The following is a 17,580-nucleotide window of genomic DNA, read 5'->3' on the forward strand; positions in this document are numbered from 1 at the left end:
TGGCCGATCAGTAACTTAAAAGACAAGAAGTGAATCTATTACATTTGAGTTACCGAGGCTGCATTATGAGTTTTGTCAGCATTTATCAAAGGTCAGGTGTTGGCAGGACTCAGAAGCAAATAATAAATACATTATCATTTCACAGTGACTGGTGTTCCAAATGTGATGTAAGTTAAAAATGGGGGAAGATAGGGGGCCGGGCACGGTGGCTCACGCCTGTAATCCCAGCACTTTGGGGGGCTGAGGCAGGAGGATCAGGAGGTCAGGAGATCAAGACCATCCTGGCTAACACGATGAAACCCCATCTCTACTAAAACTACAAAAAATTAGCTGGGCATGGTGGCGGGCGCCTGTAGTTCCAGCTACTCGGAAAGCTGAGGCAGGAGAATGGCGTGAACCCAGAAGGCGGAGCTTGCAGTGAGCCGAGATCGCACCACTGTACTCCAGCCTGGGCGACACAGTGAGACTCCGTCTCAAAAAAAAAAAAAGAAAAAAAAAATGGGGGAGGAGATAACCTGCTGGTTATTACCTCAACACTCATCCTTTCTTTAAAAACCACTGCGCAACCTCTTCTCCTCTATCGGGTTCAGCGAAGTTTTTGATGGAACTGTAAAGATGATACATACTTGGGAACCCAGGGGTACGGAGATGAAACTGGAGCCAGAGTTGTATGTTGGATGGATAGCCAAGGGCTTCATGGGTGGGTAAAAGAGACGCCATGCTTTCCCCAGGGAGGACGGGCATGAAAGTGGACATAAAAGCCTCACACCCCATGCTTCTTTAAACAAGGCAGTTTCTATTTTGATTCTACCTGCTAAGGGACCCATACCTGGTGCTAAACTGGAAGCAGAATTTTCTGTGGCATCTTGTGCCCCTTCAATGTTCTCCTTGTTCTCCACCTGTTTCTTCAGTGTCCGAGTCTTGGAAGGAAGTATAGGTAGCCGGGGCAGGTATGGAACAACAGATGACGAGGAGGCGGCTCTCCCAAGCTCCTCAGCTACCTCTGTGAGGAAGACAAGGGGACCAATAAAAAGAACAATTTCATAGCAGAAAAAGGGAGTTCTTTTCAGAAAAGGCACACAACTGAGAAAGAACTGGCAAGTAGAGTACTAAAATACATACACGGAATCATAAAGTATGTACTCTTTTGTCTGGCTTCTTTCGCCCAGTATCATGTGTGTAGATTCGTCCACGCTGCTGCATGTGGCAGGGGTTCTCATTGCTGTGTAGCATGCCAACGTGTGAATATACCACAATCCACCTGTTCTCCTCTTGATGGATGTTTAGGTTGTTTCCAGTTTGGAGTTACTATGAATACGTTGCTAGCATCATCCTGCTCTGTGTCTTTTGGTTCACAATGTTATGCACGTCTGATTGGCACAATGTAGGAGAACTGGTGGATCACAGGGTATACGTGTATTCAGGTTTATTAGGCCCTGCCAACCTGTCCCCAAATAGCGATACTATTTTGCATGAAAGCTGTGGTTACTCTGCATGCTTGCTAAAATTTGATGTTATTATTTTTGGCTTTTTTTTTTTTTTTTTTTTGCAGATGGAGTCTCACCCTGTTGCCCAGGCTGGAGTGCAATGGCGTGATCTCAGCACACTGCAACCTCTGCCTCCGATGTTCAAACGATTCTCCTGTCTCAGCCTCCCAAATAGCTGGGATTACAGGAGCCCGCCACCACACCCAGCTATTCTTTGTATTTTCAGTAGAGATGGGGTTTCACCATGTTGGCCAGGCTGGTCTCGAACTCCGGAACTTGTGATCCACCCGCCTCAGCCTCCCAAAGTGCTGGGATTACAGGTGTGAACCACAGTGCTCAGTCTTTTTTTTTTTTTTTTTTTTTTGACAGGGAGTCTTGCTCTGTTGCCCAGGCTAAAGTGCAGAGGTGCGATCTCAGCTCACTGCAACTTCCGTCTCCCGGGTTCAAGTGATTCTCCTGCCTCAGCCTCCCAAGTAGCTGGGATTACAGGCGCCTGCCATCACGCCTGGCTAGTTTTTGTATTTTTAGTAGAGACGGGGTTTCACCATGTTGGCCACGCTAGTCTCCAACTGCTGACCCCAACTGATCCACCTACCTCAGCCTCCCAAAGTGCTGGGATTGCAGGTGTGAGCTGCTGTGCCTGCCAAGCCTGATTTTAATTTTAGCCTTTTTGGTAGGCTGTGGATTGGTATCTCAGTGTGGTTTTATTTTGTATTTCTCTATGATGAGTAATGTTAAACATGGTTATTGGACATATGGATATCCTCGTTTACTAAGTTAAAGTTAACCTTTAACTACTTTCCATGTCAATATATCCAAGAAGGCCGGGCGCTGTGGCTCACACATGTAATCCCAGCACTTTGGGAGGCTGAAGTGGGTGGATCACTTAAGGTTAAGAGTTCGAGAGCAGTCTGGCCAACATGGCGAAACCCCATCTCTACTAAAAATAACAAAAATTAGCCAGGTGTGGTAGCAGGTGCCTGCAATCCCAGCTACTCAGGAGGCTGAGGCACAAGAATTGCTTGAACTTGGGAGGTGGAGGTTGCAGTGAGCTGACATCGCACCACTGCACTCCAGCCTGGGTGATAGAGTGAGACTCCATCTCAAAAAAAAAAAAGTATATATATGAATATCATTTTAAATATTCAGCTATATGGTTGTAATAATTTACAGTCCACTAGATATATAAGTTGTTCATAATTTCTCACTATTATAAACTATACTCTGATGCAATGTCCTTGTAGTTAAAAGTTGAAACAGAGTCTCAAACTCCACAAAAGTTGATCATTTTTGAAATGTAATTACCATTATCACCACCACCACCACTACCCAGAATTAGTCACCAACAGTAAATCCAACAGATTCTCACCTTCAGAAATGCTGGAGTCATGGAACATGGTTTCAAAAGCTTGGTGTGTTTCAGCAAAAGAGGGCCTATCGGCAGGGCTCCACTTCCAGCCTATGTAACAGAAGAAAAAATATTAAAAACTCCTTGCAGAAATTCAATATCCAGTGGTGTATCTAATAATGAGTTCTATGCATCATGATGCACACTTATTAAAGTACAGTTACAGCATGTTCACAATGATAGCAACATAGCCACTTCTCAGCTCTAGACTCAGAGGTATAATGAACCCACTTTCTAAATTCCTTTTTTCTTTTTCTTTGAGACAGGGTCTTGCTTTGTCACCCAGGCTGGAGTGCAGCTGGCATGATCTCAACTCACTGCAGCCTTGACCTCCTGGGTTCAAACAATCCTCCTGCCTCAGCTCCCCAAGTAGCTGGGACTATGGGTGTGCAACACCACGCCCAGCTAATTTTTTTTTTTTTTTTGAGACGGAATCTAACTCTGTCACCCAGGCTGGAGTGCAGTGGCGCGATCTCGGTTCACTGCAACCTCTGCCTCCTGGGTTCAAGTGATTCTCCAGCCTCAGCCTCACGATTTGCTGGGGCTACAGGCGCACGCCACCACGTCCGGCTAATTTTTGTATTTTTAGTAGACAGGGGTTTCGCCATGTTGGCCATGCTGGTCTCGAACCCCTGACCTCAGGTGATCCACCCGCCTCAGCCTCCCAAAGCGCTGGGATTACAGGCTTGAGCCACTGCACCCAGCCAAAGTGAGCACACACAGCGATCTCAAGCTACTGTATTTTTTATGTAGATGGGATTTTGCCACATTGCTCAGGTTGCTTTTGAACTCCTGAGCTCAAGCAATCTGCTCACTTCGGCCTCCCAAACTGCTAGAATTACAGGTGTGAGCCACTGCACCTGGCCATTAACCCACTTTCTAAGGCTGGTGCTTCGATTTAGCCTCAGCTCCTATTCCCTCTAATAAAAGGATGAGGAGAAACAAGGAGATGTTTTAGAAAATGGCAAGTTTTCTTCCACTTGAAAATAAAAGAAGTAAAACCTGTCTTCAAACTCAGCCTAACCATATAATCAACTGTATACATTCAGAAATATAAAAGGATATCAAAAAGGAGGATCTCAGAGTTCATTTTTGACAAAGTGCAACAGAGAACGTCAATGTTCAATGAGGAAACAACACAGACTTATGTTCAAACACAACTGCAATTAGGACCAGGCCTGGTGGCCCACATCTGTAATCCCAGCATTTTGGGAGACTGAGTCGGGCAGATCACTTGAGACCAGGAGTTCGAGACCAGCCTGGCCAACATGGTGAAACCTTGTCTCTACTAAAAGTACAGGCCGGGTGCTGTGGCTCAAGCCTGTAATCCCAGCACTTTGGGAGGCCGAGGCAGGCGGATCACGAGGTCAGGAGATGGAGACCATCCTGGCTAACACGGTGAAACCCCGTCTCTACTAAAAAATGCAAAAAAAATTAGCCGGGCGTGGTGGCGGCCGGCGCCTATAGTCCCAGCTACTCAGGAGGCTGAGGCAGGAGAATGGCATCAACCCGAGAGGTGGAGCTTGCAGTGAGCCGAGATCGCGCCACTGCACTCCAGCCTGGGCGACAGAGCGAGACTCCGTCTCAAAAAATAAATAAATAAATAAATAAAAATACAAAAATTAGGCCGGGCGTGGTGGCTCATGCCTGTAATCCCAGCACTTTGGGAGGCTAAGGCGGGCGCATCACTTGAGGTTAGGAGTTCAAGACCAGCCTGGCCAACATGCCAAAACCCCATCTCTACCAAAAATACAAAAATTAGCCAGGCGTGGTGGCAGGTGCCTGTAATCCCAGCAACTTGGGAGGCTGAGGCAGGAGAATCGCTTGAACCTGGGGGACGGAGGTTGCAAAGATTGTGCCACTGCACTCCAGCATGGGCAACATAGTGAGAGTCCGTCTCAAAAAAAAAAAAATTAGCTGGGCATGGTGTGCGTGCCTGTGGTTCCAGCTACTGAGGGGCTGAGGCATGAGAATCACTTGAACCCATGAGGTAGAGGTTTCAGTGAGCCGAAATCACGTCACTGAGCCGAAATCACGTCACTGCACTCCAGCCTGGGCAACAAAGCAAGAGTGTTTGAAAAACAACAACACAAATAAACAAACAAACAAAACCCTGCAATTTAATCCACTATTCACTTTCCTACTTTTTCATCTGCAAGCAATCGGATGCTTCTGTTTATCTACACAGAGGTTATTTTTATGCATTCTTCATAGTCTTTAGCAATCATTTTTATCTAGTTGAAAACGGCCCTCCCCACCTTAATCTCTAAACTCAATTTCTTATCTTATTAAATATGCAAATGTCTCTGAGAAACTGGGTCAATATTTGGGCCATAACAACTATGCTTAGGATTCCAATAAGATTCAATGGTATATGATATGACAACTGGCTGATCAATGATAAACTCTTTAAATGTCATGAGGCTGGATTCAATCTAACAACACTGAGAGGAGAAATGTTTCTAATTTTGTTAACTATTCTGAACTGCTAGCTTATGCCTTCAAAATTAAAACATGCAAAAATACTCACATGCTCTCATAAGTTCATAAACCTTAGGGGGGCATCCCTCAGGCTGTTCCATTCGATATCCTTTTTCTAGTAGGTCATAGACCTGAGACAGGTCAATACCTGGATATGGTGACATTCCATAGGTAGCAATTTCCCACAACAATACCCCAAAAGCTGCATAAGGAATTAAAAAAAGCACTTAGTGTTTCTTCTCCGATTATTTATTTTACATAATTAGGTGATTCTCTTTCATATTTTAGGTAACATTCACACACTGTTACAACAACATTAATATATAATATACTCTTTTATCAATTCTTACAGCATGATTTGTCCTTCTAAAATATTTGCAACAGGAATGCTGCAGATAATCTCAAGACAGTTTTATTTAAATTTCCCAATTTTTATTTAGATTTCCTTTACTGTAATGAGGGAAAATAAACTATGACCATTTAAGAAGTCTGAGGCATAATCCAACTATTCTTAGAAAAGTTTTTGATATACAGTAGTCACCCCTTATCCATGGTTTCACTTCCCACAGTTTCAGCTACTCACAGTCAACCAAGGTCCAAAAATATTAAATAGAAAATTCCAGAAATAAACAATTCTAAAGTTTTAAATTGCATGCTGCCTTGAGTTGCATGATGAACTCTCAAGCCATGCTTCTCCTTCCCGCCTCGCACATAAATCATCCTTTTACTCAACATATCCACACCGTAGATGCTACCCACCCCTTAGTCACTGAGAAGACCTCTCGGTTATCAGATCAAAAAAAGATTATATATCCAGGGCTTGACACTATCCTTGGTTTCAGGCATCCAAGGGGGGGGTCTTAGAATGTATTCTCCTGAGGATAAAGGAGAACCACTGTATCTAAGAAGCATAACAGTTTTAAAGTCAGCTAATACAAGAGGAGTAAAATAAAAATGGATTCATTTAAAATCAGATAAAATTCAGAGCAGAAAAAAATTTGTTTGATTTTGTCTCAGTTATTTGAGTTTGAGATTTCCAGTAAAAAATGACTTAGAATCCTATGACTATTTCTATTGGTCCACAATCCAAATTTCCAGATTGTTCAGTCTACTAAGCTTCAACCAAATCATATTACCTCTCAGAGCAGTAGAAACCAGATCAATTAGGACAAATTCTAGAGGAAACCTCATCACACTTCCCTCGAAAAAAAAAAAAGCTCTGTGTCACAGTACTCTGCAAATGAGTGATAAAACCTAATGTGAGGCTGAGCACAGTGGCTCATGCCTGTAATCCCAACACTTTGGGAGGCCAAGGCAGGTGGATCATTTGAGGTCAGGAGTTCGAGACCAGCCTGGCCAACATGGCAAAACCTCATCTCTACTACTATGACAAAAATTAGCCGGGCATGGTGATGCATGCCTGTAGTCCCAGCAACTCTGGAGGCTGAGGCAGGAGAATCGCTTGAACCCGGGAGATGGGAGGTTGCAGTGAGCTGAGATTGTGCCACTGCACTCCAGCCTGGACAACAGAGCAAGGCTCTGTCTCAAAAATAAAAACAAAAAACCTAATGTGGAAATAGGATGCTTTACAGAGGGAGGATCATTAGCACTCCAATGCAATAAGAGATCTAGACTGTGAGCTCTCTGAAGGCAGGGACTTCTTTTTTAAAACTTTCTTCTTTCTTTTTTTTTTTTGTTTGAGACAGAGTTTTGTTCTTGTTGCCCAGGCTGGAGTACAATGGTGTGATCTCAGCTCACCGCAACCTCCACCTCCCGGGTTCAAGTGATTCTCCTACCTCAGCCTCCCAAGTAGCTGGGATTACAGGCATGCATCACCACACCCAGCTAATTTTGTATTTTTAGTAGACACAGGGTTTTTCCATGTTGGTCAGGCTGGTCTCAAACTCCTGACCTCAGGTTGTCCACCTGCCTCGGCCTCCCAAAGTGCTGGGATTACAGGCATGAGCCACTGTGCCTGGCCCTAAACTTTCTTCTTTATACTTTTTTTTTTTTTTTTCTTTTTAGACAGAGTCTCGCTCTATTGCCCAGGCTGGAGTGCAGTGGCGCCATCTTGGCTCACTGCAACCTCTGCCCTCCAGGCTCAAGCAACTCCCCTGCCTCAGCCTTCAGCCTCTTGAATAGCTGGGATTACTGGCGCATGCCACCACGCCTGGCTAATTTTTGTAGTTAGTAGAGATGGGAGTTCACCATGTTGGCCAGGCTGGTCTCGAACTCTTGACCTCAAGTGATCCACCCATCTCGGCCCAAAGTGCTGTAATTACAAACGTGAGCCACCACACCAGGCCTATACTTCTGTTTATGCAAAGTTCTTAACACAGTCCTGGCAGATAGGAGGTATTTAACAAATGCTTGCTGAATAACTGAAGAAGAATGGCAGGTAAAGGTAGAGGATACTGAACATCGTAAGAGAAGCTCTAAAGAATCAAGGCATTTATAAAAAAAAAAATAAAATGACACAGAAAAAAGTCCCTTTCAACCTTACCCCAGACGTCAGATTTAATTGAGAAGGTATTGTAGGCAAGACTCTCTGGTGCTGTCCACTTAATAGGAAATTTGGCTCCAGCATGAGCAGTATAAGTGTCTCCAGTCATCAATCTACTTAAGCCAAAGTCAGCCACTTTTACCACATGGTTTTCTCCCACTAGGCAGTTACGAGCTGCAAGATCTCTGTGGGAAAGAGAACCCTAATGTGATTCCATTCAGATGGTGAGGAAAATGGTCATGAACACTCTATTCTTGGTTTTGTGTTATAGGCAGAGTTAAGTAAGTGCTGACAAATATGGTAGTATCTTCTGATAATCACTAACACCTTAGAAAGCCACTAATGATATGTCACTGTAGAGCACTCATCAAGATGCGGAATAAAGCAGGCTTTATAAAATGGGTCCCTATTTATAAGTACACTGGGATAGGTGAGCAATAGATGCTTTTCTACAAGACTAAGTTATTTACTAATGCAGAAAACTATTTTAAAAATTCAGCCACTAGGCCAGGTGTGGTGGCTCACGCCTGTAATCCTAGCACTTTGGGAGGCCAAGGTGGGTGTATCTCCTGAGCTCAAGAGTTCAGGACCAGCCGGGGCAACATGGCGAAACCCAGTCTACAAAAAAAAAACAAAAAACAAAACAAACAAAAAAAAACCATAAAAAAACACTTAGCCGGGCATGGTGGCATATTCCCGTAATCCCAGCTACTCAGGAGGCTGAGGTGGGAGGATGGCTTGAGCCCAGGAGGCTGAGGGTGCAGTAAGCTAAGATCGCATCACTGCATTCCAGCCTGGGCGATGGAGCCAGCCTGTCTCAAGAAGGAAAAAAAAAAAAAGCCACTAGATGGTGAAAAAGGATCTTGGATACAGTGCTGGCAAAATAAAGAGAGCTCTCTGGCCAGGCATGGTGGCTCACACCTATAATCCCAGCACTTTGGAAGGCTAAGATGGGAAGATCACTTGAGGCCAGTAGTTTGAGACCAGCCTGGTCAACATAGCAAGACCCCATCACTATTGCAATTTTTTTTTAAGAGAGTTCTCAGGTTTGAGAATAGCAAAGGCCCCTTATTAATACTTTAATCAGAGTACAGTAGGTTTACAAGTTAGAAGTGACATTATAATGGGCCCTGTGAAATACAAAATTACTTTCTTGAATCATCTGAAATTTTCTGGGAAGGTTCTCACATTCTTCCTTTTATCTGCATGTCAAGCAAGATGGCTTCATGGTTGGTCAGAGGTAAGTTTTACACACCTATGGATGAAATTCTTCTTCTCTAAGTACTCCATTGCAGAAGAAATCTGAGTGGCCATGTAGAGCAGCACAACTGCAGTCACCTCTTCTCGGTTGCATTCTCGGAGGTAATCCAGCAAATTCCCGTATGGCATGTATTCAGTCACAATGTAAAATGGTGGCTCCAAAGTACACACACCTAAAAGTTGAACAATAGTGCTTGTTTTTATTAGTGTACATTCAAACACTCCAAACCACTTTGGCCAAGAATAATTTGACAATTTTTCAGGTCTAGTTCGGCAATAATCTTTTCCCTTCTTACCACCACGTTCTCTGAAATTAATAAGCAAAAACTAAGAAGCTGGTTTATAAGGGAGTCCTTGCTTTCACTGTATTGTTCTCTGGGAATTCATATGCCTCTGAGTATTTGTCTATTTGAGCAAAAGCAGAGTTACCTGTATTAATTCTATAAGGGGCCAAGAAAACCAACATGTCTAGAGTTTTGCACATGGCCCATGATTCTCCTCCTCAACTGCAGGCTAACAATACTTATTCAAAAGTAATAGCAATTGTGCACAAGCTGAAGACTATGTGAGCCCCACCTGCAATACTGCTTTGCAAAATGATTTTCATCATTTCCATAGTCAAGGATTTCACTGATATATGGCAGATTCCTTATAAAAAACCAACAAGAGGCCGGGTGCAGTGGCTCATGCCTGTAATCCTAGCACTTTGGGAGGCTGAGGCAGGCAGATCGCCTGAGCCCAGCAGTTCAAGACTTGACTGTCCAACATAGCAAAACCCTGTCTCTACTACAAAAATTAGCTGGGCGTGGTGATGCACGTTGAGGCACGAGAATAGCTTGAACCTGGGAGGTGGAGGTTGCAGTGAGCCAGGATCATGCCACTGCACTCCAGCCAGGGTGACAGAGCAAGACTCTGTATTTAAAAAACAAACAAAAAAAAACACCCCCCACACCCCCCCAAAAAAAAGAAAAAAAAAAAAACCTGGCCCTATTTTAAAAAAGGAAAAAGGCTTAGTAAGAGAGTTCTTTGTGACCTGAACAGTGAAAAGCCAATCTAACATAATAAAGCATTTCCTGCTTGTAAAGGTAAACTGAGGGGTGTGGTCACAGTTTTTAATTTGCTTCTTTTCAACAGTCCTTTGTTTAATGTCTCTTTATTTTGCAAAAACATTTCATGAGTTTTTGGTTCAGTACCATTTTGAACACTTCTGAACTTTGAATCTGGGGCAATTAGTACAAACTGAGCAGTTTTATACACCAAAATCAATCCAGGCCACTGTTTCTTGGGCTATTTTTAAACACAGAACCTACTGATTAAAATAACTATTTATTGAAGTGGATTCAAACCTGCAGCTTCCACCATGGTGACTAAAAAGAAAGGTTTGGGGGAGGAAAAAAGGCGGGGCATGGTGGCTCATGCCTGTAATCCCAACATATTGAAAGGCCCAGGCGGAAGTATCACGTCAACAGCAGCCTGGACAACAGAGCGAGACCCTGTCTCTATATTTAAAAAGAAAAAAAAAAAGCATTTGGAGATAACAAGGGGTTAAAGGGCAAGCATTTTTGGAGGAAATCTATGGTTCAGGCAAGGTTCCTCACCTAAAAGTTGTACCAGATTAGGATGCTTGATTTCCTTCATTACTGCAGCTTCTTTCAGGAATTCTTCTACCTCCATGGTATCTTCCTAGAAAAAGGGAAAGGTAAGAAAGAAGAAAACGAGAGGGACAAACCCTCAACTTAAAATCATTTCATTCATCTCACAATCATAAAGCTTCAGCTTTAAAAGTAAAAACTATCTTTTGAATATTTTAGCATATTACAAGATATAATTATTATTTTAATTTAATTTATTTTTTTGAGACACGGTCTCGCTCTGTTACCCAGGTTGGGGTGAAGTGGTGTGATCTCACTGCAACCTCCGCTTCCTGGGCTCAAGCGATTCTCCTGGCTCAGCCTCCCAAGTAGCTGGGATTACAGGCATGCACGACCATGCCTGGCTACTTTTTGTATTTTTAGTAGAGACGGGGTTTTGCAATGTTGGCCAGGATGCTCTCCTGACCTCAGGTGATTCGCCCACCTGAGCTCCCCAAATTGCTGGGATTACAGGTGTGAGCCACCACGCCCAGCTGAAATAATTATTATTTTAAGAAGTCCAACTTAGAAAGAAAAATGCCCTGGAGTAAAAATTAGCAGGAGGAGCAAAATTCAGCAATCGTGTCCTATAATCAACTGAAACACAGGAGCCCTGTATTGGATAGTTCAGTTCTCTCATAGTTTACTTCTCCAGATATCTCAGGCTTTGAATGACGAGACAGAGCACTTAGCTGCTTACATACTTATCTTCTTGCTTAGATCATAATCTTCTTAGAGAGCAAGGCCTTATATATTGCTTCACACTCAGAATATGCTTAAGAAACAGAACTGACTACTACTTAATAGCTAAAGAATAGCCCTTATAAGTGATACACCAGAGACAGTTACTGAGGCTCTGGGAGAATCAAGTGAGTGAAAACCTTATAATTTGATACTGGGATGTTTAAAGGAGACATATAGTAGTACTACGAAAAAGATTTCTGTTAATATTAAGAAGTGATCTAACTGCAAAGAGACAGGAGGAACAAGAACAAGGGAGAGAAAGGACAGAACAAGAAAGAGGCCCATGACTCTCAGACAAGAATTCTGTCCAGCAGGGGTCGTTCTCAGGAAGCAAAAGAGCTTATTTTGCTTTTATAACTTTTAATTTGCTTCTAACCTCCCACTAAGATCTACATCAACAGCCTCCAGAGACAGACCTTTCCCACATGTGGGTTTCACTGCATTGCAGTGAATAATCTACCTCTGCATTGTCAGCAATGGCACTAGGGTTAATCATCTCAATTTGCTGATGTGCTTGGCACTAGTGGGTGGAAAGTGTTCCAAAGTTAAAGAAGGGCATGCTGATATTTCCAAGTGATTGAGCACAAAAGAAAAAGATGCCTGAAAACTGTAATTCTCAGCAACCCACCTTCAATGTTTTCACAGCAACTGTAAGGCTGTATTTCTTCCAGACGCCAACGTAAACCTCTCCATACTGACCGCCCCCAAGTTTGTGCTTCATGGTAATATCTGTTCGCTCCATTTCCCATTTGTCGTGGATGGGGGACACACCATAGACTGTAGGCTTATTACACTTGGGTGCTGGGTAGTGTAATGTTGTCACCAGCCCATCAGCCACTGTGGAGTGATGGTGTACAAGCTCTGCCAAGGTGCTGAAGCGGCTCTCAGCAGTCACATACACCTGGTAAGAAAAGGAGAAAAGCTAAACAACTTGAAAAGAGATTAAGAATTTTTTTTTTTTTTTTTTTTTTTTTTTTGAGATGGAGTCTTGTTCTGTCACCCAGGCTGGAGTGCACTGGCGCGATCTCGGCTCACTGCAAGCTCCGCCTCCCGGGTTCACGCCATTCTCCTGCCTCAGCCTCTCTGAGTAGGTGGGACTATAGGCGCCCGCCACCATGCCCGGCTAATTTTTTGTATTTTTAGTAGAGATGGGGTTTCACCGTGTTCTTGATCTCCTGACCTCGTGATCTGCCGGCCTCAGCCTCCCAAAGTGCTGGGATTACAAGCATGAGCCACCGCTCCCGGCCTAGGAATTCTTTTTTAAAGCCCATATTTCACTGGCCTGAAGATATAGATAGAAGGCTATCTTTAAAAAAAAAAAAAAAAAAAAAAATATTCTGCAGACAGGGTCTCACTATTGCCCAGGCAGGTCTCAAACGCCAGCCTCAAGCAATCCTCCTGCCTGGGCCTCCCAAGGTGCTGAGATTACAGACTGGGCCAGTATACCCAGCAAGAGTTTATCTTAATTGAGGTAAATAAAAAAGTTAAATGATGATTGCAAGGGTAAACACAGAACTTCAGTTTAATCTTATTTAATCTGCCTTTCCTATTCTTCCTAAATTAGTCTTGGGAAAAACCTTCCAAGATCTCTCTCTGGATAATCAAGCTCATTGGTCTTCAAATATATATATATTTTCAAATATATATATACTCAAATTATGTATTTTTTCAAATATATATTTCTTTTTCTTTTTTTCTTTTTTTTGAGACAGAGTCTCACTCTGTTGCCCAGGCTGGAGTGCAGTGTCATGACCTCAGCTCACTGCAACCTCCGCCTCCTGGGTTCAAGTGATTCTCCTGCCTCAGCCTCCCAAGTACCTGGGATTACAGGCATGCGCCATCACGCCTGGCTAATTTTTTTCTTTGTATTTTTAGTAGAGATGGGGTTTCACCATGTTAGCCAGGCTGGTCAGGAACTCCTAACCTCAAGTGATCTGCCTGCCTCAGTCTCCCAAATTGCTGGGATTACAGGTGTGAACTACCACGCCCGGCCAGTCTTCAAATATTTTTAAGCCACAAGACTATGGACTCAACTACAGAAGATACGTAAAGAAGAGATACCCTGATCAAAGTAGGCAAGCAAGGACTTGGCCTCTTGTAGAAATTTACAAAATATCACCTTAATCTTGTAAAAAACATAACTTGAAAACCACTGATTTAGATTTTTTTGGTAAGAGTATTCAAATATCTCATAATTTTAATTATGACGTGCAGTTGAGTGTCTAGGCCATTAAAGAAAGAGCCACAATTTACCGGTGGCCAGGAGCAGTGGCTCACACCTGCAATCCCAGCACTTTGGGAGGCTGAGGTGGGCAGGTCACTTGAGGTCAAGAGTTGAGACCAGCTTGGCCATCATGGTGAAACCTCCTCTCTACTAAAAATACAAAAATTAGCCAGGCTTGGTGGTGCGTGCCTGCAGTCCCAGCTACTTGGGAGGCTGAGGTGGGAGGATTGCTTGAACCTGGGAGGTGGAGGTTGCAGTGAGCTGAGATCACGCCACTGCATTCTAGAGTGGGTGACAGAGCAAGACTCCATCTAAAAAAAAGAAAAGAGCCACACTGGATTTCACAGAATTGCTTACAAAATAGTTGTTAATTTGCTAAGCAATAAGAAATGTAAAGTAAGAGGGAATTCTCTGGACTTCTCTCCCAAGGGAGCCTTAATTTTTATGTATTTTTGAGAAATAAGGGTCTCACTCGGTTGCCCGGCCTGGAGTGCAGTGACACAATCATGACTCACTGCAGCCTTGACCTCCCAGGTTCAGGTGATCCTCCTGCCTCAGCTTCCCGAGTAGCTAGGACCACAGACATATGCCACCATGCCCAGCTAATTTTTAAAATTTTTTGTAGAGATGAGGTTTCACTATATTCCTCAAGCTGGTCTTGAACTCCTGGGCTCAAGTGATCTACCCTCCTTGGCCTCCCCAAGTGTTGGGATTACAGGCATAGGCCACCATGCCTAGCCTGTTATTTATTTTTTTTAAAGACGCTTTTGGTCGGGCGCAGTGGCTCACGCCTGTAATCCCAGCACTTTGGGAGGCCAAGGCGGGTGGATCACGAGGTCAGGAGATCGAGACCATCCTGGCTATCATGGTGAAACACCGTCTCTACTAAAAATACAAAAAATTAGCCGGGCGTGGTGGTGGGCGCCTGTAGTCCCAGCTATTGAGGAGGCTGAGGCAGGAGAACGGCGTGAACCTGGGAGGCGGAACTTGCAGTAAGCCGAGATCGCGCCACTGCACTCCAGCCGGGGCGACACAGCAAGACTCCATCTCAAAAGAAAAAAAAAAAAAGAAGCTTTTGTTTTAGTGTATAAAGTATCAATTCATAAACAGAAAATTGATAATTTTTACAAAGTAAACTCACCCATGTAAACATCACCCACACCAAGAATTATAACATGATCAGCACCCCAGAAGCCTCCCTTATGCTCTCCAGCTATTTGCCCTTGCAGAGATAGCCACTATGCTGACTTCTAACATCTTAGATTAGCTTCTGCTTTTTTTTTTTTTTTTTTTTTTGAGACAGAGTCTCGCTCTGTTGCCCAGGCTGGAGTGCAGTGGCACGATCTTGGCTCACTACAACCTCCACCTCCCAGGTTCAACCAATTCTCCTGCCTCAGCCTCCTGAGTAACTGGGATTACAGTCGCGTGCCACCATGCCAGGCCAATTTTTGTATTTGTAGTAGAGACAGGGTTTCACCATGTTTGTGGGGCTGACATCCTGACCTCCAGTGATGAGGCCCACCTCGGCCTCCCAAAGTGCTGGGATTACGGGTGTGAGCCACCATGCCTGGCCTCTGCTTCTGAACTATACACAAACAGAATCACACAATATGTATTGTTTTATGTCTGCTTTTTTCCACCCAACTTTTAAAAATTGCATTATATTTCAGATACCATAAAATTCATCATTTTAAGGTATACCATTTCATGGTTTTTAGCATATTCTCAAAGTTGTCCAACCATCATGACTATCTAACTCTAGAACATTCTCATTACCTCATATCTATTAGGAGTCCTTCCCACTCCCCACATCCTCATCCCCTGGCTAATACTAATCCTTCAACTTTGCTGAAGTTGTTGAGTCAGCTAACACTCATCTAGAGTAGGGGCCAGCAAACTCTTCATAAGGGCCAGATAATAAATATTTTAGGCTGTGGCCATAGTGTGTCAGAACTGTGAACTACTCAGCACTGCCTAGTAATAGAAACCATAGACAATACATGAACAAATGGGTGTGGCTGTATTCTAATAAAATATTATTTACAAAAAAAAGCAGACGGCTGGAGGGCCATAGTTTTACCTGGTGGTGGTGTGTGTAGCAGTACTGTGTTCGCTTCTGTTGTTGAATGAAATTGCATTTTATGAATATACCACAATTTATTAATCCATTCTACTGTTGTTAGATCTGTGGGTGTTTCTAGTTTTTGGCTATCACAAGCAATGCTGCTATGAACATTCCTATACATGTCTTCTGGCACACATATGCACTCATTTCTATTAGGTAAATAACTAGAACTGCTAAGTCACTCTTATATTATTACACATCTGATTCTGTTCTGTTTGGTCAAGAGGAAACATACTATGTCTGTATGCTGGTGCAAAAGTGAAAGAAAATTAAAAATTTACTTATTTTCTACTTTGTATCAGTCATTATGTTTTACAGAAATTACTTCATTTAATCCTTACAACAACCCAATAAAGTGGGATCTAATTACAGACAGGGAAATTGAGACTTATGTAAGGTCACAATCAGATCTGCTTGCTCCAAAGCCTGTGCTTCCCCCACAGCTTGCCTATCACATAGAGGAGAATAGAAGAAATAATTCAACCTAAATTTACTGCTCAACAGATAACCAACGGACATAAGCTCATGCTCTGTAGTTTATAATGTGTAAACACACTGTAACACATCCATTCTAACTAACATGGTTGGTGTTCCCAATATACAAACTGTTCAATGACTGAATGATCCGTTTCAGTTAATATACATTAATGATCGACACCAAGCTCAAAAGTCTAAATTCTTACTCTGTGAACTTTCTGGTAGATATTATTCTAATTTTCAATGATACAATGTTAACTGATAAACTCTATACCAGTGCACTGGGTGTATATTTGTGTACTGATTATAAGAACAGCTAACTTATAGAGCAGTTCCCTTCATTCTTCACCTTCAAATCTAGCTTATCTTTAAAATATTAATATAATACTGTTTTTAAAAATTTCTATTACCATATCCTTTTCAAGAGTACAAGCTCTAACATGCCAAAAAGCCCAAACTCACAAAGCTAGTGAATATTTTATTTCACGTCAGACATAAAATCTATTATTTCACTTCAATCACGTTGAATATTATTTCACAGAGTAGCCAGTCCATGCTTAAAGGTGGTGACCAGGGAGTCTTACCTTGCCATCTGCAGTGGTATTGATCCTGTAGTGATACACACGTCCCTCGTACCTGAGCGAGATGGACAGCTGCCCAGGGCTACTCTCACTTTCTCGCACCAGGAAGCTGCCATTGATTAGACTGCTGAGCAGATACTCAGCTGCACTGCGTGACACAGGTCCATGGTACCAGGAGTGTTTTTCCAGGCTGTTCACTGGGGTGATGTAGTTGCTTGGCACCCAGCCCTGCCCATTCTTAGAGCGAACTTCACTCCACTCACCATTCTGGTTGTAACCAAGGACTCGTAGCTTTTCACCTAGCCATAAGGTCATCACAGGATGAAAGAAACGATGTTAAGACTTTATTTCAACTGAAGCAGTGTACTGTCAAACTTTAAACTCATTAAAAAAAAAAAAGAATCTAGAACTTTTATGCCAAATTTTTTTTTTAAATAATGAAAACAAACTTGGCTGTTCATCATATCCTGATTGCTCTCTTTAGCTTTTAGCTTAACCACAGAAGTATGGTCACAAATGGTTTTCTGGCATTTACTACAGGGTTTTAAAAGTCTATATACAACTTAAAAAATATCCTTAAGAAATTCTATGTATGCCAGACAGGTTACTAAAATGGCTGGAAAAGGACACAGTGCTCACTCTTCAAAAGAAGAAAATTC

General features: G+C 42.8%; 1 protein-coding gene across 13 annotated transcripts in view, besides 2 other annotated features; it reads right to left on the reverse strand.

Annotated features, from left to right (window-relative positions):
• The window catches only part of ABL2 (ABL proto-oncogene 2, non-receptor tyrosine kinase), a 130,348-nt gene that overhangs the window by 10,123 nt on the left and 102,645 nt on the right, over nucleotides 1-17,580 (reverse strand). For 9 of the 13 annotated variants that reach the window (NM_001168238.2, NM_001168236.2, NM_001168237.2 and 6 more), the window contains 8 exons: nucleotides 16,925-17,220; nucleotides 12,143-12,415; nucleotides 10,738-10,822; nucleotides 9,135-9,312; nucleotides 7,880-8,064; nucleotides 5,426-5,578; nucleotides 2,857-2,946; nucleotides 830-1,003 (listed from right to left, as the gene is read on the reverse strand). In NM_001168238.2, the coding sequence (NP_001161710.1) occupies nucleotides 830-1,003; nucleotides 2,857-2,946; nucleotides 5,426-5,578; nucleotides 7,880-8,064; nucleotides 9,135-9,312; nucleotides 10,738-10,822; nucleotides 12,143-12,415; nucleotides 16,925-17,220 (1,434 nt within the window). Of the gene's footprint in view, nucleotides 1-829; nucleotides 1,004-1,122; nucleotides 1,394-2,856; nucleotides 2,947-5,425; nucleotides 5,579-7,879; nucleotides 8,065-9,134; nucleotides 9,313-10,737; nucleotides 10,823-12,142; nucleotides 12,416-16,924; nucleotides 17,221-17,580 lie in introns of those variants that run through there. The other 4 variants (XR_921765.2, XR_921764.4, XR_007058798.1 and 1 more) reach the window with 3 other exon arrangements.
• Nucleotides 3,906-4,407: an enhancer, noted in NCBI's record as "H3K4me1 hESC enhancer chr1:179082493-179082994 (GRCh37/hg19 assembly coordinates)". NCBI's record gives its function as "activates a minimal SCP1, AML or CMV promoter by ChIP-STARR-seq in primed H9 embryonic stem cells {active_cell/tissue: H9 hESC(primed)}" and the evidence as "EXISTENCE:reporter gene assay evidence [ECO:0000049][PMID:30033119]".
• Nucleotides 4,408-4,907: an enhancer, noted in NCBI's record as "H3K4me1 hESC enhancer chr1:179082995-179083494 (GRCh37/hg19 assembly coordinates)". NCBI's record gives its function as "activates a minimal SCP1, AML or CMV promoter by ChIP-STARR-seq in primed H9 embryonic stem cells {active_cell/tissue: H9 hESC(primed)}" and the evidence as "EXISTENCE:reporter gene assay evidence [ECO:0000049][PMID:30033119]".

This window comes from Homo sapiens, chromosome 1, assembly GCF_000001405.40.
Source record: "Homo sapiens chromosome 1, GRCh38.p14 Primary Assembly".
NCBI classification, from domain to species: domain Eukaryota; kingdom Metazoa; phylum Chordata; class Mammalia; order Primates; family Hominidae; genus Homo; species Homo sapiens.